At 36.0% G+C, this 24,024-nt stretch overlaps 1 protein-coding gene across 4 annotated transcripts in view; it reads left to right on the forward strand.

Moving 5' to 3' along the window:
* PPIG (peptidylprolyl isomerase G) overlaps positions 1-23,784 on the forward strand; it is a 57,056-nt gene extending 33,272 nt beyond the window's left edge. For 3 of the 4 annotated variants that reach the window (XM_005246967.2, NM_004792.3, XM_005246966.3), the window contains exons 10-14: positions 13,152-13,365; positions 14,144-14,311; positions 15,538-15,625; positions 18,470-18,606; positions 18,791-23,784. In XM_005246967.2, coding sequence (XP_005247024.1) covers positions 13,152-13,365; positions 14,144-14,311; positions 15,538-15,625; positions 18,470-18,606; positions 18,791-19,901 — 1,718 coding nt within the window. In that variant the 3' untranslated portion in view covers positions 19,902-23,784. Of the gene's footprint in view, positions 1-13,151; positions 13,366-13,976; positions 14,026-14,143; positions 14,312-15,537; positions 15,626-18,469; positions 18,607-18,790 lie in introns of those variants that run through there. The other variant, XM_017005302.3, reaches the window with a different exon arrangement.
* Positions 23,785-24,024: the final 240 nt, after the last annotated feature.

Genomic DNA, 24,024 nt, shown 5'->3' on the forward strand with positions numbered 1-24,024 from the left:
AGAATGGGAGTTCACTCATGATTTGACTCTCTGTCTGTTATTGGTGTATAGGAATGCTTGTGATTTTTGCACATTGATTTTGTATCCGGAGACTTTGCTGAAGTTGCTTATCAGCTTAAGGAGATATGGGGCTGAGACGATGGGGTTTTCTAAATATACAATCATGTCATCTGCAAACAGAGACAATTTGACTTCCTCTCTTCCTATGTGAATACCCTTTATTTCTTTCTCTTGCCTGATTGCCCTGGCCAGAACTTTCAATACTATGTTGAATAGAAGAGGTGAGAGTGGGCATCCTTGTCTTGTGCCAGTTTTCAAAGGGAACGCTTCCAGCTTTTGTCCATTCAGTATGTATTAGCTGTGGGTTTGTCATAAATAGTTCTTATTATTTTGAGATGTGTTCCCTCAATACCTAGTTTATTGAGAGTTTTTAGCATGAAGAGCTGTTGAATTTTATCAAAGGCCTTTTCCACATCTATTGAGATAATTGTGTGGTTTTTGTCACTGGTTCTGTTTATGTGATAGATTACGTTTATTGATTTATGTATGTTGAACCATTCTTGCATCCCAGAGGTGAAGCTGACTTAATCGTGGTGGATAAGCTTTCTGATGTGCTGCTGGATTTGATTTGCCAGTATTTTATTGAGGATTTTCCCATCAATGTTCATCAGGGATATTGGCCTGAAATTTTCTTTTTTTGTTGTGTCTCTGCCAGGCTTTGGTATCAGGATGATGCTGGCCTCATAAAATGAGTTAGGGAGGAGTCCCCCTTTTTCTATTGTTTGGAATAGTTTCAGAAGGAATGGTACCAGCTCCTCTTTGTACCTCTGGTAGAATTTAGCTGTGAATCCATCTGGTCCTGGGCTTTTTTTGGTTGGTAGTCTGTTAATTACTGCCTCAATTTCAGCACTTGTTATTGGTCTATTCAGGGATTCGACTTCTTCCTGGTTTAGTCTTGGAAGGGTGTATGTGTCTAGGAATTTATCCATTTCTTCTAGATTTTCTAGTGTATTTGTGTAGAGGTGTTCATAGTATTCTCTGATGGTAGTCTGTATTTCTATGGGATCAGTGGTGATCTCCCCTTTATCATTTTTTATTGTGTCTATTTGATTCTTCTCTCTTTTCTTCTTTGTCTGGCTAGCAGACATCTGGCCAGAATCTATTTTGTTAAACTTTTCAAAAGACCAGCTTCTGGATTCATTGATTTTTTTTTTTTTAAAGGGTTTTTTGTTTCTCTTATTTCCTTCGGTTCTGCTCTGATCTTAGGTATTTCTCGTCTTCTGCTAGCTTCTGCTAGCTTTTGAAATTTGTTTGCTCTTGCTTCTCTAGTTCTTTTAATTGTGATGTTAGGGTGTCCATTTTAGATCTTTCCTGCTTTCTCTTGTGGGCATTTAGTGCTATAAATTTCCCTCGAAACACTACTTTAGCTGTGTCCCAGAGATTCTGGTACGTTGTGTCTTTGTTCTCATTGGTTTCAAAGAACTTAAAATAATTTCGTTATTTACCCAGTAGTCATTTAGGAGCAGGTTGTTCAGTTTCCATGTAATTGTGCAGTTTTGAGTGAGTTTCTTAATCTTGAGTTCCAATTTGATTGCACTGTGGTCTGAGAGACTTGACTGTTAGGATTTCCATTCTTTTGCACTTGATGAGGAGTGTTTTACTTCCAATTATGTGGTCAATTTTAGAATAAGTGCACTGTGGTGCTGAGAAGAATGTATATTCTGTTGATTTGGGGTGGAGAGTTCTGTAGATGTCTATTAGGTCCACTTGGACCAGAGCTGAGTTGAAATCCTGAATATCCTTGTTAATTTTCTGTCTCATTGATCTGTCTAATATTGACAGTGGGGTGTTAAAGTCTCCCATTATTATTGTGTGGGAGTCTAAGTCTCTTTGTAGGTCTCTAAGAACTTGCTTTATGAATCTGGGTGCTCCTGTATTGGTGCATATATATTTAGGATAGTTAGCTCTTCTTATTGCATTAATCCCTTTACCATTATGTAATGCCCTCTTTCTGTTTTTGATTTTTTGAGGAGACTTCATTCGGTTTTCTAATAATGGCTGTACCGATTTACATTCCCACCAACAGTTTACAAGAGTGTCCTTTTCTTCACATCCTCTCCCTTGTTTTCTTTTTTTTTTATAATAGCCATTGTAACAGGTGTGAAGTGCTATCTCAGTGTAGTTTTAATTTGCATTCCTTTGATGTTTAGTGACATTGAGCATTTTTGCCATATACCTGTTGGCCATTTGTATGTCTTCGTTTGAGAAATATCTCTTCAGATTCTTTTCCCATTTTTAAATCAGGTTGTTTTCTTGCTGATGAGTTGTTTGCATTCCTTATATATTTTGGATATTAACCCGTTGTCAGATGTATGGTTTGCAAATATTTTCTCCCATTCCAGAGGTTGTATCTTCACTCTGTTGATTGTTTCTTTGGCTGTGCAGAACCCTGTTAGTTTGATGTTATCCCATTTGTCTTATTTTTGCTTTTTGTTGCCTGTGGTTTTGGGGTCATATCCAGAAAAATCATTGCCCAAACCAATGTCATGGAGCTTTTTCCGTGTGTTTTCTTTTAGTGGTTTTACAGTTGCAAGTCTTATGTTTAAGTCATTAAACCATTTTTAGTTGATTTTTATATGCATTATAAGGGTCTGATTTTATTTTTTTACATGTGGATATCTAGTTGTTCCAACACCGTTTATTGAAGAGACTGTCCTTTCCCCATTGTGTGTTCTTGGCAATTTTGTTTTTTTAACTGTTTTATCCTACTTCTCATTTTCTTCATTTACCATGAAGTCAGTTAACTTTTTCTGATTATTAATTTGCAATAATTTGCCCTTTTGCTTCCACTGAGTTTTTGTTGTTGTTGTTTTTTGTTTGTTTTTTAACTGTAGTTGTCTAAATAACCTAGTAAATAAATACTCTGGAGGAAGAGACTCTGGGGCTAGATGGCAATTCAAGAGAGGAAGATAGATTAGGAAACTTTAAGGGAATAAATTATTTTTTCTTTAAGCACTACTTAGATTCAGAAGCATCCAACATGTTTGAGAAACTTCTTTTATTTAGACGAGACCATTTGATGCTGACATGACTAATTTGATATATTGTCTGAAATGGTAAGAACTTTAAATATTTTAAGTCTTTATATTTGAAATATGTGGCTGATACTATTTTATTACAGATAATGGGCTTGACATTCTAAAAGTAATGGAGTGAGATTACCTTCAAACCTGTATAGAAAGTAGTAAAACCTTAAACTGACTCTGTTCTTACTAATCTAGGGAATAATAATATCAGTAATTAGTTTCTTAGAGTTAGCACATGTGAGAGTCATCTGTAATGCTTTCTGATTCTCACAGTAACTCTATAGTATTACATATCCCTATTTTACAGACAAAGATAGTCAAGAAGATTAAGTTCTTTACTGTGTCAGGAAAAGAGACCTCAAACCCAAGTTCGAGAATTAGAACTTTTTCTGTTATATGTTACTGACTCATTAAAGTTTAAATGTCCTTAAAATTTCTTAAGAATTGCCCTAAGTAGATGATTCTCATCTCACCTTCTAGGTACACTGATTTCCTCTATAATATTTAGAAACAGGTACATTTTGTTTTGTTTTAATTTTAAAACATCCGAGATGGGCATGGAGAAGGCAAAATGATTATTTAAAAAAATTTTTTTTGTCTGCATTCCATTTTGAGTCTGCTAATTTTATTTTCTTCCATGTGATGTCAAATAAATATTCACAGGTAAGTTATTGCAATAAATTATTGCAGATGTATGCTTCAGCTCATGGGATTTCTTGATGTACATGAGACTGGCTATCCTTATTTACAAACAACAGGTGTAATGTATGCCTTTTTTCTTGAAGATTCAGTAAAAAACAAGATGTTGAGAATCTTTGAGTAATATTCTACAAATGCAATTATTTACATTAAAAAATACTAAAAATAAAAAAAATCTGTAATGATGTTTGTTACTCTAAACCCTGAACCTACTGATGTTTAAACTTTAGAGTGTTTTTAGTACAGTAGGAATATTTTAGGTTAAGGCATTATTCTTCCCAAGTCATCTAGAAAATCTTCATCATTTATTCTCTACTTGACAACTAATTTTTTTTTTTTTTAATATTTTAGTCTTTAAGGACACTTGTGTTAGGATCTGTTGCCTCCTTATAAAAGTTAAGTGGCCAGGCACGGTGGCTGACACCTGTAATCCCAGCACTTTGTGAGACTGAAGCAGGAGGATCGCTTGAGCCCAGGAGTTTCAGACCAGCCTGGGCAACATTGTGGGACTCTTCCCTACCAAAAAAAAAAAAAATTTTTTTTTAATTAACCATGTGTAGTCCCTGCTACTTGGGAGGCTGAGGCAGGAGGATCACTTGAGCCCAGGAGTTGAAGGCTATAGCCTGGGTGACACAACAAGGCCCCATCTCTAAAAAATATATAAATAAATAAAGTTAAGGATGCTGCGTGGTTTATATGTTCAGAAAGAGATTGAGGTAATAAAAGAGTTTTTGGCCAGGCTCTGGCTTACGCCTGTAATCCCAACACCTTGGGAGGCCGAGGTGGACGGATCACTTGAGGTCAGGAGGTCGAGACCAGCCTGGCCAACATGGTGAAACCCTGTCTCTACTAAAAATAAAAAAAAAGAAGTTTGCATTTTAAACCATAAACAGTAATCATAGACTCTCTAATAAATTTGTTGTAAAGATTCTTTTGGTACTAAAAGGGCAGTACTTGAATATTTGCCTAAAGGAGGAAGTAAATGAATGTAGCTCTTTATATATTACTTACATCTTTATAATGCATTGTCATCTGAAGAAATAAATGATGGTTTTGCCCATGCCATTGGGGCCAGGAAGTTGTGCTAAAAGTTGATGTAACATCCAACTGTATGTCCCTCAAACTCATGCTAACCTAGCATACCTTGCCCTTATCAGTTTCAGCAATCTGAGATTTGGCCCTTTATTAATATGTATCTGCCCAGGAGTTTCTAAAAGGTCAGATTTGTTTTGAGCCAGACTTCCAATGGCTACTCTGTTCTGAATCACACTGTGAAAAGAGGAAAAGATCTTTAGTTTGAAAACACACACTTGGGCCCCTGTTATTCCATAATCCTTCAGTTACCATTCAGAACATTGGTCAGAGTAGATTTTGTCATGCATCTTACATATAAGCAGAGCTATATCTTACATCCACTTAGTAAGTTTGATGGCCTTCTTAATTAATTGGGAACAGTCAAAAAGCATTGTAACACTGTGGTATTTATCATCATTATATTTAAAACCTTGTATGAGAGATTTACACCTGTTTTTTTTAACTTCCTGAAAGAAAACAAAAAGACTTCTGAAGAAATCTGACAGTCTTGGTCCATCTATATGTGTTCTTGGGGAGTCTGGGCAATCAATCTTCCTGGGCCTTTCTCTCTTTGCAATTTTGAGATTGGAGATCCTTCTTTTTGTGACTATTTGAGTGTGCCAGAGAAAATTCAAAGTCAAGGAGAAAAACCTTCCAGCAGATGCAGAGATGGAACACTGGAAGCTAATAAAAGCTGCATCCCCTGTAGAGGCTCAGCAAAGGGCTGTCAAAAGTCAGAGTGGAGGATAGAACACAGACCAGTACCTTGATTAAGATATTTCCTAGTTTTTCAGGAGCTGACGTGACCTCAGATCATGCTGTTCAATTCAGAGTTCACTGCAGTTGTTAACCCATTTATGCCGGAGGTTGCAAGTTTTTTGTGTGAAAAATCAGATCTTGGCAATGACCTTGAGAAGTAGGATATACATAACTCCCACAAGCTTAGCGTACCAATAATGAAACTAAGAGATGAGAGGATTGCTATGTTACATAGTACACAGAAACACAAGAACAGAGTTGTGGCAACATGGCGGTAAGTAGTTGTATGAGAAGAAATGGGAGGAGGCAGATTGCCTGACAATACAGAACAAATAGCACAATAGAGGAAGCAGCTGGTGAATCTTGTACTCAGGAGACAAGTGAAGAGGAACACTAGAGATTCATTTCTATGGTGACAGGGTCCCATTTCAGTGTCCTTATTCTGAAAGTAATTTTGGCACTTTTATTGGAAAATAGTGAGATGTTAAACTTAGAAACGGTTTAGGAGATGCAACCCATAATGTGAAATGAAATTGTCTAAAGACCATTTTAGGAATACTTTTGTTCTTTATTTCAAATCTTATTTTGATGGTGATTTCAGAATTTCCTTCATTTTCAAGATTTCAAGTGAAATTTATTGGTGTAAAATCTGTGGGTCTCAAATAAAAAACAAAGCAGCATTTTGTTACCTTAGGTTTTTACAAATAAAATATTCTGGAGTTATTTCTGGTTTTGTTTTGTTTTTTTGAGACTGTCTTGTTCTGTTGCCAGGCTGGAGTGCAGTGGTGCAGTCATAGTTCACTGCAACCTCGAACTCCTGGGTTCAGTCAATTCTCCCACCTCAGCCTTCCAAATAGCTGGGACTACAGGTGTGCATTGCCACACCTGGCTAATTTTTGTATTTTTGGTGGAGACAAGGTCTCGCTATGTTGCCCAGGCAGGTCTCAAATTCCTGGTTCAAGCGATCCTTCTAACTTGACCTACCAAAGTGCTGGGATTACAGATATGAGCTATGGAATTTGGTTTTTAACCTTAATATTATACTAGTAAGTTAAATGACTAATTGATAAGGTTACATCACACCATACCCCCAAGTAAAGGTCAGTGAAGAAGTTTGGGAAATCATTCTACTTAATAATAAGCAAACTGCGTAATCTAAACTAATTAACCAGAAATGGCCCAAGTTGAAAGTGTTATTACTCTTTGTAATTCTTTTTCATCCACTATGATTCTTAACTTGCATTGTGGTTTTTGCTTTTAGTGCTATTTCATTTTACCTTAACGATACTTACATGCCATTAAAAGAAACGCTGAAATCAATTTTGTGTAAGTAGTTAGGAAGTAGGGTTTTGTTTGTTTGTTTTTGAGATGGAGTCTCGCTCTGTCACCCAGGCTGGAGTGCAGTGGTGCGTTCTCGGCTCACTGCAAGCTCCACCTCCCTGGTTCACGCGATTCTCCTGCCTCAGCCTCCTGAGTAGCTAGGACTACAGGCGCCCACCACCACGCCCGGCTAATTTCTTTTTGTATTTTTAGTAGAGATGGGGTTTCACCATGTTAGCCAGGATGGTCTTGATCTTCTGACTTCGTGATCCGCCCACCTCGGCCTCCCAGAGTGCTGGGATTACAGGCATGAGCCACCGCGCCCAGCCGGAAGTAGGTTTTTTGAAGAGTCAGCTGAAAACAACTGTTGCCGTATTCGGAATTTAAAATTTTAATTTGAAAATATTATAACTGAGAAATTATTGTATATATTTATGGTATACAGCGTGATGTTATGATACATGTATACAATGCAGAATGATTAAATCAAGCTATTTAACATAGCTGTCACCTCAAATACTATTTTTGTGGTCAGAAATTTGAAATTTATTATCTCAGGAATTTTGAAATGTACAATACATTATTATTAACTGTTCTCACCATGCTATGAAAATAGATCTCAACAAACTTATTCTTCCTGTCTTAACTGAAACTTTGTACCCTAGTTTTAAAAATTTAATACATTTATTTGGTTCGAAATTCAGAAAGTATAAAATGATAATCTGTGAAAATCTCTTTCCATGAGTTTCCATTCTCACATTTTGTACATTATTCCACGTGTGTGTGAATGTTGATCTTGTAGAATGAATTTCCTAGAAATGGAATTGCCAGTTTGCAGAGGTCATGCATTTGTAATTTGGTAGACACTGCTACCAGAATATAAGAGGATAAGTTGCCCTACACCCTGTATAAAACTACGTATTATTGTAAACTCTTTCACCTTTGCCAGCCTAATGGATTTTTTTTTTAACAAATGCTAGTTTCAATTAGCATTTCTCTGAGGAGTGTGATGTTAGTGTCTCCTTAAGAGCTATTTATGTTTCTTTTTATATGAACCGATTGTTGATTCCTTTACCGCCTATTATTTACCATTCTTTTATTCTTCCTTTCTGAAGTTCAAGCCTCCTCCTGCTATTTCCTTTCTCTTTGGAGAACTTCCTTTAACCAATTTTTTTTTTTAAGGTTAGGTCTACTGGTGACAAAATTATTCTAGTTTTCTGAAAATGTCTTTATTTCATCAGGGTTTAGGGGATGGTTTCAGGATGAAACTGTTCCACCTCAGATCATCAGGCATAAGCGTTTAATAAGGAGTGCTCAGCCTAGATCCCTCGTATGCACAGTTCACAATAGGGTTTGTGCTCCTCTGAAAATCTAATGCTGTCACTGATCTGACAGGAGGTGGAGCTCCAGTGGTAAGGCTTGCTTGCCTGCCACTCACCTTCTGCTGTGTGACCTGGTTCCTAACAGGCCACGGATCAGTACCAGGGACCATGGCTCTTCATCTCCATGTTCTGACATTATGTTGACTATGTATATTGGTATACTGTTCAGTTAAATAATACTTGTGACTTTGAGAAGGATACAGTTTCAATCATATTCTCAATATGCCTTAATCATATTTTAAAATTTAGGTTAACACACATTCTGAAACTCAAGCCACAGTCTTACAGAATCAATATTGATATTGTGATATCTCCCAATTTTTTGCCTTTTTACCCTTCTGTCCTTTAATGCCATCTCTTTCTCAATTATTTTCTCTCATTTTTTTTCTGAGCAGACTTATACAAAAAGGAACATAAATTAAATTTGCCAAATATCAAAAGAGAGGAACTTTTTATTTTTTATTTTTTTGGAACGGAGTCTCAATCTGTCTCCCAGGCTGGAGTGCAGTGACGCAATCTCAGCTCACTGCAACCTCCGCCTCCCAGTTCAAGAGATTCTCTGCCTCAGCCTCCCGAGTAGCTGGGATTACAGATACCCTCTACCATACTCAGCTAATTTTTGTATTTTTAGTAGAGACGGGTTCACCATGTGGGCCAGGCTGGTCTCGAACTCCTGACTTCAGGTGTTCTGCCTGCTTTGGCCTTCCAAAGTGCTGGGATTATAGGCGTGAGCCACCACTCTCCACTGAACTTTTTAATCTTAGAGCTTTTTTATTTGTTAAATCAGGACGGAGTCTCACTCTGTTGCCCAGGCTGGAGTGCAGTGGTGCAATCTCGGCTCACTGCAACCTCTGCCTCCTAGGTTCAAGTGATTCTCATGCCTTAGCCTTCTGAGTAGCTGGAACTACAGGCGCCCATCACCATGCCTGGTTAATTTTTGTATCTCTAGTGGAGGCGGGGTTTCACCATGTTGGCCAGGCTGGTCTCGAACCCCTGGCTTCAAGTGATCTGCCTGCTTTGGTGTCCCAAAGTGCTAGGATTACAGGTGTGAGCCACCACCATGCCTGGCCTATTTTCCTCTTATAGTTAATGTTTTCTGATTCTTGAGCAGATTATATTCCTATAAAAACAGTTATAAATCTCTTTCTGGCCTTCCATTTCATTTATTTACTTTGAGGAGGAGTCTTGCTTTGTCTCCCAGGCTGGATTGCAGTGGTGCAATCTTGGCTTACTGCAATCTCCACCTTTGGGGTTCAAGCGATTCTCGTACCTCAGCCTCCCTAGTAGCTGGGATTACGCGTGTGCACCACCACACTTGGCTAATTTTTGTATTTTTAGTAGAGACAGTTTTGCCATGTTGGCCAGGCTGGTCTCGAACTCCTGACCTCAACCGATCCACTAGCCTTGGCCTCCCAAAGTGGTGGGATTACAGGCATGAGCCACTGCACCCAGACTTTTCATTTTATCATGTTATCTTGCTTCACTAGAATGTTTTCTTCAAAAGTGATATGTAAATTAAATAATTGTTTATGAAATGTATTTAATACACTTGGTAAGTGGGCTTGCTGTTGTGTGGTATGGTGTTTTGTTGTTGTTGTTTTGGAGACAGGTTCTCACTCTGTTCCCCAGGCTAGAATGCAGTGGTGCGATCATGGCTCACTGCAGCCTCGACCTCCCAGGCTTAAGTGATTCTCCCTGCTCAGCCTCCCAAAGTGCTGGAATTACAGGCGTGAGAAGCCATGCCCCTAGCCAGTGGGCTTGCTTTTTTTTTTTTTTTTTTTTTAATTTCAAACACTAAATGGGCTTGCTTTTAAAGTAAATCAACTGTGATGTATTTCTCATAGGAAAGAATCTCAGTGCAAAATAAATAGAAATCAGACTGGTGATTAAAGCTTTTTTAATTGTGGGGTAAAGAGTTACCATATTTTAACAAGTATATTTTATGTTTAAGTGTAGTATTTTTATTTTGCTTGCACAATTTTATGTTTTTATTTCATTGTGAATTTATTTTCTGTGTTAGATTTCCTTAAAATTTGATTTTTTCCCCCTGCATATCCCTCAGGTTTATTAGTTTAGCATATATAAGTAGATTTTTCAGGTTATATGTTTTTTCATACCCACTCTGTCTCACCAGCAGCATAGGTATTGGATTCAGGTTAACAGTTGGGCTCGTGAGACAAAATTAGCTTCACCAGGCACTAAGATTACTTACCCTTAAGAAAGGATATAGGGCAGGAAACGGCATGGCTGGTACATCAACAGCATAGAGGCACTGTCATGATTTCCAGGCACAGCTTGCGTATATCCCAAACATCTCACACTTGATAATGTACCTGTTCCTTAGAAACATAACTGGGTAAGGAAGGATTATCTTAGTTCAGTGAAGCCATTACATCTACGGTCTCTTCAGCTTTTATACCTTGTTCCCATTCTCAAGTGCAGCAACATCTCATCAGTACTGGAAAAGCAGTCTGCACAGTGAACCAGAAGTCCTTGGTCAAGTACAAGTAACTTCAGCCAGATTTTCATGTATCTTGGGTTTAGTATATTCCTGTAAATTATCAGTTACAAATTTCAAGGATGATTCAGGCACAGCAGCACATGTGCCTGTAGTCCTAGCTACTCAGGAGACTGAGAGAAAGAGGATTACTAGAGCCCAGGAGTTTGAGGCCAGCCTGTGCAACATAGCAAGACCCCATCTTCATAAATAAACAAGGTTAGGCATGGTAGCCCACACCTGTAATCCCAACACTTACGGAGGTTGAGACAGGAAGATCCCTTGAGCCCAGGAGTTCGAGACTAGCCTAGGCAACATGGGGAGAACTTGTCTCTACAAAAATAAAAATTAAAAAAATTAGCAGGGCATGGTGGCATACACCTGTGTTTCCAGTTACTCAGGAGGCCGAGACAGAAGTATCACTTGAGCCCGGAAGGTCAAGACTGCAGTGAGCTATGGTCTGCACTCTAGCCTGGGCAACAGAGCAAGACCCTGTCTCCAAAAAAAAAAAAAAAAAAAAAAAAAAAAAGGCAAGGATAAATTTTCCAAATACCAAATCTTCAGATGTTCCTGAGGCTAAGGTGGGGCTAAAGGAAAGGTCACAAATCAGCTGTTAACCCTTTCAACTAAGGTTCTGTAACCAAACAACCAACAGATAATCCAAAGATATATTTTCTTTGTTTTCCTTGACTTTTTATTGTGGAACATACTAATTTATACACAAGTGAATAAAATAATATAACACTTTTTCTTTAGCTAGCTTCAGGAGTTTATTTATGGCCAATCTTGTTTTACCCATCACTAGCCACTTTTCCCTTTCCTATTATTTTGAAACAAATTCCAGGCATAATATTTTATCAATAAATGTTATTTCTAAAAGATGATTCTTAAAAACAGTACCATAATGATACACACATACACATTCCTAAATACTAAAAATCCTGACAGTGTTCAGATTGTAATTGTTTCATTAATGTTAATTAATTTTTTGCTGTGTGAATCAATCCAAATGAAGTTCAGACATTGAAATTGGTCTTGTAAGTTGTGTTTTGTTTCTTAATAAATTCCCTCACCATCTTGTTTTATGTTTCCTTGAAATGTATTTCTCAGAAAAGGTAGGTCATTTGTCATGTAGCATTTTCTATAATTGAACATACTGGATTTTACTAATTGAGTCCTTACTGTGTTATGTAATGTTGATCAGATGCAGTTGTGACTTGAAATTCCTTTTAATGAAAACAGGAGTCACACAGGACAAGTTGTCTCTGTGTTTTGCAGCAGCCATGGGTTATCAGTGCCTCACAAGAAGTTGTAAAACGATATTTTAACACTATAATTTCTTTTTCATTTATTCCTGGAATGCTTCTGACAAAGAGCTATTTCCCTTCATTCATTTCATTAGCCAGTGGTGCAGTTTGTACCACAAAGGCAAGATAAATGCTTTATACTTTATGAGTATCACTGTGAACTAATGTATTTCTAATATAATCTGATATATCTCAATTTATTGTAGTTCTCATGTATATATCAATATTGTCCCATCTTTGGCCCCAGTTAGCCTCTTCAAATCCACCATGATTTGAATGAGTATACCTTTAGATGGGTCAAGCTCCTCCCAATTTGTAGTATCTTCTTCTAATTCTTGTTATGTTACACCTTCTAGCTTCACTTATTTATATTAATTGATCCTTTAAACTCTGAGTTTTTTTTTTTTTACCCTTTTTAAAGTTACTGCTTCCTTAACTGAAATAAAATTTCAATTTAAAATGACTTTTTGTAGAGTCCCCAAAACATTCTATTCATCATGGGCAATTGACTTCCCTCTGTTATGAGTCTCCTCTTGAGCTAAATTTCTTAATTATTAGAAGACTGCTTGGGCACTGAAATATAAGCCCATGCCAGTGAAATCCATTTCTTATCTCTCCATGTTGCTGTAAAGCAGTTTTTCTGTTATTTCCCTGCACTAGTTCTGCCAATCTTGATAATAAGAGGGAAAGTGGAAAACTACAAGATTAGAACATGGGACTCTTCATTGTTATTCTGTGCTTTTAAAAAAAATTCTTATTCAGATGTTTGTTAACATTAGTTTAGCATTTTAGACTCACCTATTTTTTAAAGTTCTTTGGATTAATAGATAAAACTTTGACCAGTGAATTCTGGAGATCTGGACTCTAATCCTGAGTCTTGACTCCTTTCCTGTACTTCCCAGTTCACATAGCTGGATGATCTAAGTGCTAAATACTGAACTTAGTGAGAATCTGCAGAAAATTTAAATCTCCTTCCACAAAGTTTGTCTAAAAATTGTTGATCAAAACCTTTTTGTTTTTATTAAAGTTAAGAAAGAAGAAAAGAAAAGGCATAAATCATCATCATCTTCCTCCTCCTCATCTAGTGACTCAGATAGCTCAAGTGATTCTCAGTCCTCTTCTGATTCCTCTGATTCCGAAAGTGCTACTGAAGAGAAATCAAAGAAAAGAAAAAAGAAACATCGGAAAAATTCCCGAAAACACAAGAAAGAAAAGAAAAAGCGAAAGAAAAGCAAGAAGAGGTCTTAATTTTACTTTTCTAATGCTAGCTTTATATTCTGATTTCCTTTCTGTAAATCTGTTAGGATTTTGGGTCAATTATATGAAACTGTTAAAATAGTGAGAAATATAGCATGGAGCGTAGGACTTTTGATATTCCACAGTCTATAGATTAAATTTTGGGTACGTTCATTTTCTTTTGAAAGAAAACCTATCAGTTCATTTTTTTGTGTACTCAATGAAATAATACAGCTTTGGTGTTACAGATTTGTGTGTTTTATAGGAGGATTATGGGATTTATGAAAATTGCAGAAAACCACCAGTTGTTTTTCCTATTTTCAGTAGCAGTCCCCTTTGCTCTTACGATAGCATAAGGATAGAAAGCAGATAATGTCAGTGTATTTTACTTTCTTTTCCATTTTGCTTGAAATAATCTGTGTTTGTACTAAAACTTGTCTTCATCTGCCTATGGCTCAAATGCAGTTAATTTCTTTACCCATGTTTTAAAGTATTTTAAATTTATCAGAGTGCATTGCTCACATAGTTTCATATTTTTTATCCATTTTGTAGGAAAATATTTTTTGAGAGTGTGATAATCGAAACGTTTTGTTTTGTTTGTTTTTTGATTGGTTAGTTGGTTTGTCAGAGGAATAGAAGATTTTTCCCATGCGATCACATCTTTGGTAAGGACAGGATGTTTATATTATAGTGATATAAAGGAAAGAAATACCAACAATTGGATACTTCCGTAAGGACATAATAACCAACTGTAACTTGTTTTGTGTGTTTCTGTCTGTTAAGTGCATCTAGTGAGAGTGAAGCTGAAAATCTTGAAGCACAACCCCAGTCTACTGTCCGTCCAGAAGAGATCCCTCCTATACCTGAAAATAGATTCCTAATGAGAAAAAGTCCTCCTAAAGCTGATGAGAAGGAAAGGAAAAACAGAGAGAGAGAAAGGGAAAGAGAGTGGTATGTGAATATGTATATTTTGCCTTACATGGTTTACCATAGAACTTTTCTTTTTAAAAAGTTATTTATTTTAAACAAGATTTAATTGGTGACCTTGTCCCAAGATTGAAATCTTTTTTATAAAATGTTCTTCCGCAAAGTTCTTTTTTGCCAACCACATAACTAGAAAGGGAAATTGACTTAAATTACAAGTAGGTTCTGAAGTAAAGTTACACATAATAAACACTAATACAAAAAAGAGATGTTAAGCAGCATTCCAAGCCAATAACAAGATACTCTTTAACCAGTAAAACAAGATAGTGTTTTATAGTGTTATTTGTGTACAGTAAACTCTTAAGCAAGTAAGAATCTTGGTTTTTCAGTTTGTCTAATAGGAAAAACTGCTGTTTTCCTTACTTGGTTTACAACATTGTAATAAAAATTGATGTCATGTTCAAATCCTGAAAAAAGTTTACTACATAAATCTACATTATTAATATCTGTAATGCTAATGGTTCTTTATCAGTCATTTTAATAACTATGTCCAGGCTGGGCGCAGTGGCTCACGCCTGTAATCCCAGCACTTTGGGAGGCTGAGGCGGGCAGATCACGAGGTCAGGAGATGGAGACCATCCTGGCTAACATGGTGAAACCCCATCTCTACTAAAAATACAAAAAATTAGCCGGGTGTGGTGGCGGGTGCCTGTAGTCCCAGCTACTCAGGAGGCTGAGGCAGGAGAATGGCATAAGTAAACCTGGGAGGCGGAGCTTGCAGTGAGCCGAGATCACGGCACTGCACTCCAGCCTGGGTGACAGAGTGAGACTCCGTCTCAAAAATAATAATAATAATAATAACTATGTCCAAAAGTAGAAAAAGGAATATTGAAATATTTTTCTTAGTTATGATCAGAAATACATTGTCATAATACAAGTAATAAAATTCTTGGCCAGGCATAGTGGCTCACACCTATAATCCCAGCACTTTGGGAGGCCAAGGTGGGCAGATCACTTGAGCCACCATGCCCAGCTAATTTTTTGTATTTTTAGTAGAGACTGGGTTTTACTGTGTTAGCCAGGATGGTCTCCATCTCCTGACCTCATGATCCGCCCACCTCGGCCTCCCAAAGTGCTGGGATTACAGGCATGAGCCACCGCACCCGGCCCAGATTCATTTTTATTAAAGTAACATGTCTGGCCAACAAAAGTTTTTAAAAAAATGTGTTAACTTTCTGTTTGCTTCCTTCTAGTAATCCACCTAACTCCCAGCCTGCTTCATACCAGAGACGACTTTTAGTTACTAGATCTGGCAGGAAAATTAAAGGAAGAGGACCAAGGGTAGGTGATTCTTTCCCCAGAGATCTTCACAATATTGCATTTGTCTTCCTTAAATAATTTTAGGGTGTTTCTTAAATATTATTTTAATGTGCAAGTAACTAAAATTTAGGGGAGATGCAGGCATTGAATTATATATTCTCTTTCTTAAGCAGCTTCTGTATGTTGGTACTTCCCAACAGAAAATCCATGAGATATGAATAGATTTTACATTTACATGGTATAAAATGGGATCGAGGTCTTTCTTGTCTCCCGTGTTTCTTGGCAATCACTGTATCTCTATTCTTGTTAAAAATAAATAAAAATTAACCCTATTCTTGTATTTTATTCTTTTTTTATTTACTAGAGTGTCCTCATCAGAATTTAAATATCTTGTGCTTTCAAAACTTTATAGAAACTTGGCTATACTTTCCTGTCTTATGTCTTCACTTCCTACTTATTCCTCAAGCATTTTAGTTGTCTTCCACTACCGTTGTTCTGCTGAAAACAGCACTTGATACATAATCAGCTCCATGTCACAAATTCCAGTGGATTCTTTTCAGTCTTCATCTTACTTAATCTTGCTCCTTGTAATATTCTTTCCACCCCCCCCTTTTTTTTTTTTGAGATGGAGTCTCAGTTTGTTGCCCAGACTGGAGTGCAGTGGCATGATCTCGGCTCACTTTAACCTCTGCCTCCCAGGTTCAAGCAGTCCTGCCTCAGCTCCCCCTAGTAGCTGGGATTACAGGCACATGCCACCATGCCCGGCTAATTTTTGTATTTTTAGTAGATACAAGGTTTCACCATGTTGGCCAGGCTGGTCTCAAAACTCCTGACCTCAGGTGATCCACCTGCCTGAGACAGGGTCTCATTTTCACCCAGGCTGGAGTGCAGTGGTACAATCAAGGATCACTGCAGCCTCAACCTTCCAGTCTCAAGCAATCCTCCCACCTCACCCTCCCAAGTAGCTGGGACTACAGGTGTGCATCACCACATCTGGCTAATTTTTGTATTTTTTTGTAAAAATGGGGTTTCGTCATGTTGCCCAGACTGGTCTTGAACTCCTGAGCTCAAGCGATCTGCCTGCCTCAGCCTCCCAAAGTCCTAGAATTACAGGCGTGAGCCACCGTGTCCACCCATTTACCTAACCTTTAAATACTGTAGTACCTCAGGGTTCCCATTCAAATCTTCTCACACTGCATATACTCCTTGAGCAATCTCATGACTCCCATGGCTGGTAACTGTCAAATTTTTATCGGCATTTTTCAGCTCCAAAGACTCATTTGACTAATGAGTACCTCAAACTTGGCTTTTACAAAGTTGAGCACAAGCTCTTCCTCTTCAAATCTGAACCTTCTTTAGGTTACTGATTTTAGTGACGGGCACCACCACCTGTGCAGTTCCTTCCCAAGAATAATCTGATTCTCCCCTTTCAGTTTATACCTTAACTATGCAAGTAACTTAACTATGGTAAGATACATGAATATATCTTACCCATCACCGAATACTGTCATTTCTGCCTCCTAAATATTCAGAAATTCATGTGTTTCAAGCTTTACCCCTGCCATGTTAATTCAACTCCATCATATTGTCTGAGCTGTAAATTTTGATAGTTCTCAATTTTTTTAAATCTCAGTACCTCTTTCATGTTAAAAATTACTGAGGACCCAAAAGAACTTCTGTTGGTGTGGGTTATATCTATCAATATTTACTCTTTCAGGAATTAGTACTGAGAAATACTTGAAACATAAGAATATATAAGCACACATTCCATTAGCTGTGAAAGTAATGATATCAAAACATGTAAACTGAATAACACTATTGTATGATAATGAAATAATGAAAATGGAACAGGCAAATATTGTGATATTATTATGAAAATAGTTTTGACCCCGAGTCTTTAGATCCTAGATCCCACTTTGAGATTCACTGTCTGATCTTTTTTTTAAAATAGTAGCCAGAATTGTCATTTAAAAATGAAAGTCTGATTTTTGTGCCACTCCTTTACCATTGATCTTAGGGTAAATCCAAAATAACTACAATGGCCTATGACACTACACAAAACCTAGTCCTTGCTTACCTCATCAATGTTATGTAGTACTACTTTCCCTTGCAGTTTTTAGATTTGGCCATGTTTGGTCTGTCTTCTCATCATTTCTAAAGCATGCTATGTTTCTTCTTAACTCAGAACCTTCCTGTCAGCATCTTTTCCCTTTTCCTTTTATACCCATTCTATTATAGCTGCATATATGTTTAACATATGTGATTATATGTTCATTCACATGCTCTCCAAGTCCTGTAGAATATGAGTTCCAGGAAAGCACACTCATATATCTTGGCTCACTGATGTTCTCTCAGTATGTAATAAGAGTGTTTGGTCATCCTAAGGGTTGAATAAGTGAACATCTACACATTTACTCTGTTTTCCCCATAATATGAGAAATATTTGCTTTGAAACATTAAGTATATATAACATTTAGATTGGAACTTGGCAACTTATGAGTTGCTCTAGCATTACTTGGTTAGGACTCTTCCATGGAGAAGACGTATGGCTAGCAGCTAAAGTTTTTGTGATTAATGTTTCTTGGAATTTGCAACATGACAACTTAAGTTTCTCTGCCTCATTGATTTCCTATATGAAAATTGGGAAATTTTAGTAATTTTCAGGGTATAGAAATATCAGACGTTTTATTTTAACCTGGAAACATATACTTTTAAGCTACTGTTTCAATGCTTTTTATATTTTTTTTATTTTGTACCCCTTACTACCTCCTGACCCTCACCCCAGTACTTCCCTCCCTCCCAGCACCCATGCGAGTCCCTCTATACTTCTATACATTAATTTTTCCCTATTTTAATTTTCTTTAGCGTTATCGAACTCCTTCCAGATCCAGATCAAGGGATCGTTTCAGACGTAGTGAGACTCCTCCACATTGGAGGCAAGAGATGCAGAGAGCTCAAAGAATGAGGGTATCAAGTGGTGAAAGATGGATCAAGGGGGATAAGTAAGATTTAACTATTATTATTTCAAATGTAATGATAAGTGTTTGCTTTTACTATTATACATAAAGTTATTGTCATTTTAGTTATTGCTGAATACCTTAAGAAAAGTAGAATATCATTTTAGCTAATAATATCTACAGTTCTTTTCCTAATAACATTTCCCCAATTCTTTTTCTTATTTTTTAGGAGTGAGTTGAATGAAATAAAAGAAAATCAGAGAAGTCCAGTTAGAGTAAAAGAGAGAAAAATAACAGATCACAGGAATGTATCTGAGAGTCCAAACAGAAAAAATGAAAAGGAGAAGAAAGTTAAAGACCATAAATCTAACAGCAAAGAGAGAGACATCAGAAGAAATTCAGAAAAAGATGACAAGTATAAAAACAAAGTGAAGAAAAGGGCCAAATCTAAAAGTAGGAGTAAGAGCAAAGAGAAATCAAAGAGTAAAGAAAGAGATTCAAAACATAATAGAAATGAAGAAAAGAGGATGAGGTCAAGGAGTAAAGGAAGGGATCATGAAAATGTTAAAGAAAAAGAAAAGCAGTCTGATTCTAAAGGAAAAGATCAGGAAAGGAGTAGAAGTAAAGAGAAGTCTAAACAGTTAGAATCAAAGAGTAATGAGCATGATCACAGTAAAAGTAAGGAAAAGGATAGACGCGCACAATCCAGGAGTAGAGAATGTGATATAACTAAAGGTAAACACAGTTATAATAGCAGAACAAGAGAACGAAGCAGAAGTAGGGACAGAAGCAGAAGAGTGCGATCAAGAACCCATGACAGAGATCGCAGCAGAAGCAAGGAGTACCATAGATACAGAGAACAGGAATACAGGAGAAGAGGACGGTCACGAAGCCGAGAGAGAAGAACACCACCAGGAAGATCAAGAAGTAAAGATAGGAGGAGAAGGAGGAGAGACTCACGGAGCTCAGAGAGAGAAGAAAGTCAAAGCAGAAACAAAGACAAATACAGAAACCAAGAGAGTAAGAGCTCACACAGAAAAGAAAATTCTGAGAGTGAGAAAAGAATGTACTCTAAAAGTCGTGATCATAATAGCTCAAATAACAGCAGGGAAAAAAAGGCTGATAGAGATCAAAGTCCCTTCTCAAAAATAAAACAAAGCAGTCAGGACAATGAATTAAAGTCCTCCATGTTGAAAAATAAGGAGGATGAGAAGATCAGATCCTCAGTGGAAAAAGAAAACCAAAAATCAAAAGGTCAAGAAAATGACCATGTACATGAAAAAAATAAAAAATTTGATCATGAATCAAGCCCTGGAACAGATGAAGACAAAAGCGGATGAGTGAGTTATATAAACTTACTTCCATTCTGTTTCGGATTTTAAGTTTGAGAGACTTGCTAATGAATCTCCTTTATGTTGTTTTCCTTTTCATTGTTTTTGGATTGTTTTATGTTTGTCCTTTTTTTTCTTAATGTGGATTTCATTGAGTTGATTTTTTGATAATCTGCAATCTGGATAATTTGTACTGCTAAAGTTTTAATAAACTCGACATGAGAAAAACACTTTGGTGTAGTACTGTGTGCTGTGTTTAACTATTTTATGTATGCATTACTGTGTTGCAACAATTAGCCAATAGCATCCTAATTTGTTTAGTCAGCCATTTGGAATGGTTGCAATGCATTGTTGCAAAAGCTTGTGTTTCTCATGATTAAAGTAACTTTAGAAGCCACTAGAAGACATCTTGTATAGATTTTCTGATTGCGTTATAAATAGAGGTTTGCAGCGGTTTCTTTTAATTACACAGAAGCAGGGTCCTAATAACCTGAGATCTTAAATCATCACTTTTGATTTTATAGTAATTTGTGCTTTAAAATAGATGTATTTATATTGCACTTCATACTCTATTCTTTATAGTTCGAGCCATAGCTTGTTTCCTATTAATGCTTTTCCTGTCTAGTTGTGTTTTACTTAACTGCCTATAAAAATCGTAAGAGTAATTTTTTTCAGTTGATGTACTGATTGAGCTTGAGTTGCTGTTATACAGCATTTGACAGGAACTATACCTTGGAAAATCAGATTGTGATTCTCAGTTCTGTGTTGCTTTTGGTTTGAAGAGTTTTGGGAACGTTTTAATTATTAATTACCCTTCTCTAAACTTTAAAAAAAAAAAAGCTTTTCTCATTAAAACATACCATTTGTGCAGGTCCTTAAGCTATACAGATTCTAAAAATTGTTAGTATTGAGACATTAACTTCTAAGATTTCTCTTTTTTGGCCTCCAACCTATATAGAATTGAGTGTTAACTCTGCATGGATTTTGTTTGTTTTAATTGAACTGACTTCTCTAACTCTCATAGCTGTGAGTTCCAAATGGCAAGAAAATGCATCTTTTCTATATATGTATCACGATAGGCTATAGCATGTTTATGACTCTGGTTTCTTTCTCTTCAGGTGGTTTTATACCATTACTGTTAATGTTATTTTAACTTGGCATGTATAACATTGCCATATAGAGTAGAGTAGAAAGTTGCAAATTTTGATAGTTTACAGAGTTAAACACTAAACATATCCAAAGTCCATTTAGAGTTTTGGGTGTTGTATTTTGCCATTTTTGTGATGTGTGGCCTTTTATTCTGTAATCTCTTCTAAATAAAACATTGAACATCCAGCAAACATAAAACCTGCCTCATTTGAAAAGGAATTTCAAAATTCCAATTAATAGGATTCTCTAGAGAGTTTTGTACTTTAATATTTGTCAGTGTAGTGTCAACTCTGTTACCAAGGTAGCTTCTTGGTAAATCCAGTAGCTACTCAATGCTATTTGTACTGAATAAAGCAATTATTAACATGATACTTCCCACTATTGATTAATGCAATATTGATATATTTGGCGTTGTGGTAGCTGTTGCAGAATGAATAGTGTAATGACCATAAGATTGCTTGGAAAATTGTAATACAGATATCCACAATGAATTCTTTCCAAAATTTTTTTTTCCGATGATAAAAGTAGTAGATGTTTATTATAAAATCCAAGGTGATTGATTCCTTAGAGACTGACCACAAACCCACATTAGGGATAATTGAGTCTGAGTGCCCAAGCTATATAACGTTATGTAGTTTAAGCAAGTTATTGTTTGTCTTAATTTCAGTTAACTGCATTTTAAAATTGTTGTTATAAACTATTTGAGCTTTAAGAAAGGTGCTATTTAAGAAAGGATTTCTAATAACAGTTAAATATTTTTTTTAAGTCCATGCTAAGTAAAAATTCTTACATGTTGTCTGATCCCAGAGCTTTATCTACTAAAAATTATACATAAGGATTTCCAAATCTTAGAGTTTCAAAAAGTAACCATAGGGAAAAAAATTGTAGTAATTTCTATAGGCAATATTCTGTTTGGGTTATCAAAAGAGCAACTCCATGCTCCGCATTATTTATAGTCCTTATTTTAAAGTTTTATTAGCTCTCTTTACAGAACAGATGTGAAGGAGTTGAGAGGACAATCAACTAGATTTTATTTTTAGAATATAAAGAACATTTTTAAAATGATTAAACAGCATTAACTGTACCTCAGGATCTGCGCATGCATCTGAATAGCACACGGCTCAAATGGTCCTTTCCTTTTGTTACATTTAGTAGTTGTGCCATCTTTAGTTTTTGCTTTGAACATTGTTTTCCTAAAAGTCAACTATTACTTTCCCATCAAGTTGGTTTTATAGTTATGTCTAAATTTATGGTTCATGTCAAAGTATTTTTGACTTAATATCCTTTTAAAAATATTTAAACTGATTTATTGCTCAATTGGTGATAGCTGAGAAAATTTTTTCAATATGTAGAATTTTCATGGTTATTTTGTATGAATTATTTTTCTGGGTAAGCCATCTGCCACAGAAATTGACACTATGGTGAGATTAATGTTAATGAAATGAGCAGTAGAGAAGCTACTGGATTGCTTTAAAACATTCTTTGATTAAATTACTACATAGTTGGTAAGTTCATAGTTTTAAGTTACTTAATTGAAGCCCTCAGAAGTTGCAAAGAATTTATCTGATAAATCTGCCTTTGCACAAATGTGATACTGATGCATGGACGGCTTTGCGGAATGACCTTTGATATTTGTGCCTAGTGGAAGGTATGGAGCTAAACAATTAAAGAACTCTTCATTATGGATAGGCACATATTGGATCTCTGGTATTTTGGGTAGTGGTATTAACTTGACAATTCTAATTTATTTTAGTTAGTATATGTAGCAAGTTAGTATGTTTGTTAGTAGTTTATTGTACTTCATTCCAGTTGGTAATATAGTTTTCATCACACTAAACTTTTTATACTAAATTTCTGTAGAAGCTTGTTGGGTTTGCCTTCACCAGAAGGTACTTTAAATACCTACCATAGCTGATTTGTTATAAAGAAACAAAATGGGTGTTCTTCTGTTTCCTTTTGATTATGTTTACTGTAATTATTTCATTTTGGATTTATACATTTACAATTGAATAAGGATTATAGGTTGATAAGCTGTTTATTGTGAAAAGATGTGTTTTGTTACAAATACTTGTTTTAAAAATTAATAAGCCCCCAGGAAGTACAGCATTGACTGGCACAACTGCCCATAGTGAGCTTCCCAACTAACTGCCTTCAGTGGATTCGGGCAAGTGCAAAGTCTTTGGCCTATTGTGTGACAAAGAGGTATATATTAAAGGAAAAGAAAAATGACATGAATAAGAAAATTCCGTCAACAAGGTTGGAGTAGGGAGTTGTTGAGGGGTTTAGTTTGTTTTAAAAGGTATGTGAGGGAGTGGTGGGGTGGATTTGTGTTTCTGACTTTTTTTCTTTAAGCAAATTCCATATGTTACCAAAAGCACATGCTGTATATTTTCTTCCCCTTTTGTGTGTATATAGTATTTTGAAAGATAAATGAATTGGGTATTTGTATGTGGGATGTACAAAATTGTGGCCGCTCTCTTTGTGGAAGGAAAAAACATAAATGAAGTTAATGCACTTCTTTTCCTAGCCCAAAAGTCACTGTGATTATATTTTTTTAATGAAGTTTAGAAAAAAAGCTGTTGTCTTCTCAATTGTAAAATTAGTTTCAAAATGCTGCTTCTCTTATCATTAGTCTAGTAATTGTTGAACTTTTCTGCAAACTGCATTTTACAAAATTGAAACTTGGAAGCTGTATTAACTTTTATAGTTAAACATTGTATTAAATAAACTATACTATAATAAACAGTTTGGTTTTGTATTTTTTAAATTGTATTATCCAGCCTTTTAAAAATTAAAAGCTAAATAATGAAAATAAACCAATTAAAACATACTTTTACTCTCAGATATACAGGTATTTACATTATGAAAAAACTGAACAAAGTTTTAACAATACTGAGCTTTAAGAATTTAGCCAGCAGGGAAAATTTCCAGGTTTGAGAATGTTCTAATGTAAATATTTAATCATAATACTTCAGATTGTAGT

The sequence above is a fragment of the Homo sapiens genome, chromosome 2, assembly GCF_000001405.40.
Source record: "Homo sapiens chromosome 2, GRCh38.p14 Primary Assembly".
NCBI classification, from domain to species: Eukaryota; Metazoa; Chordata; class Mammalia; order Primates; family Hominidae; genus Homo; species Homo sapiens.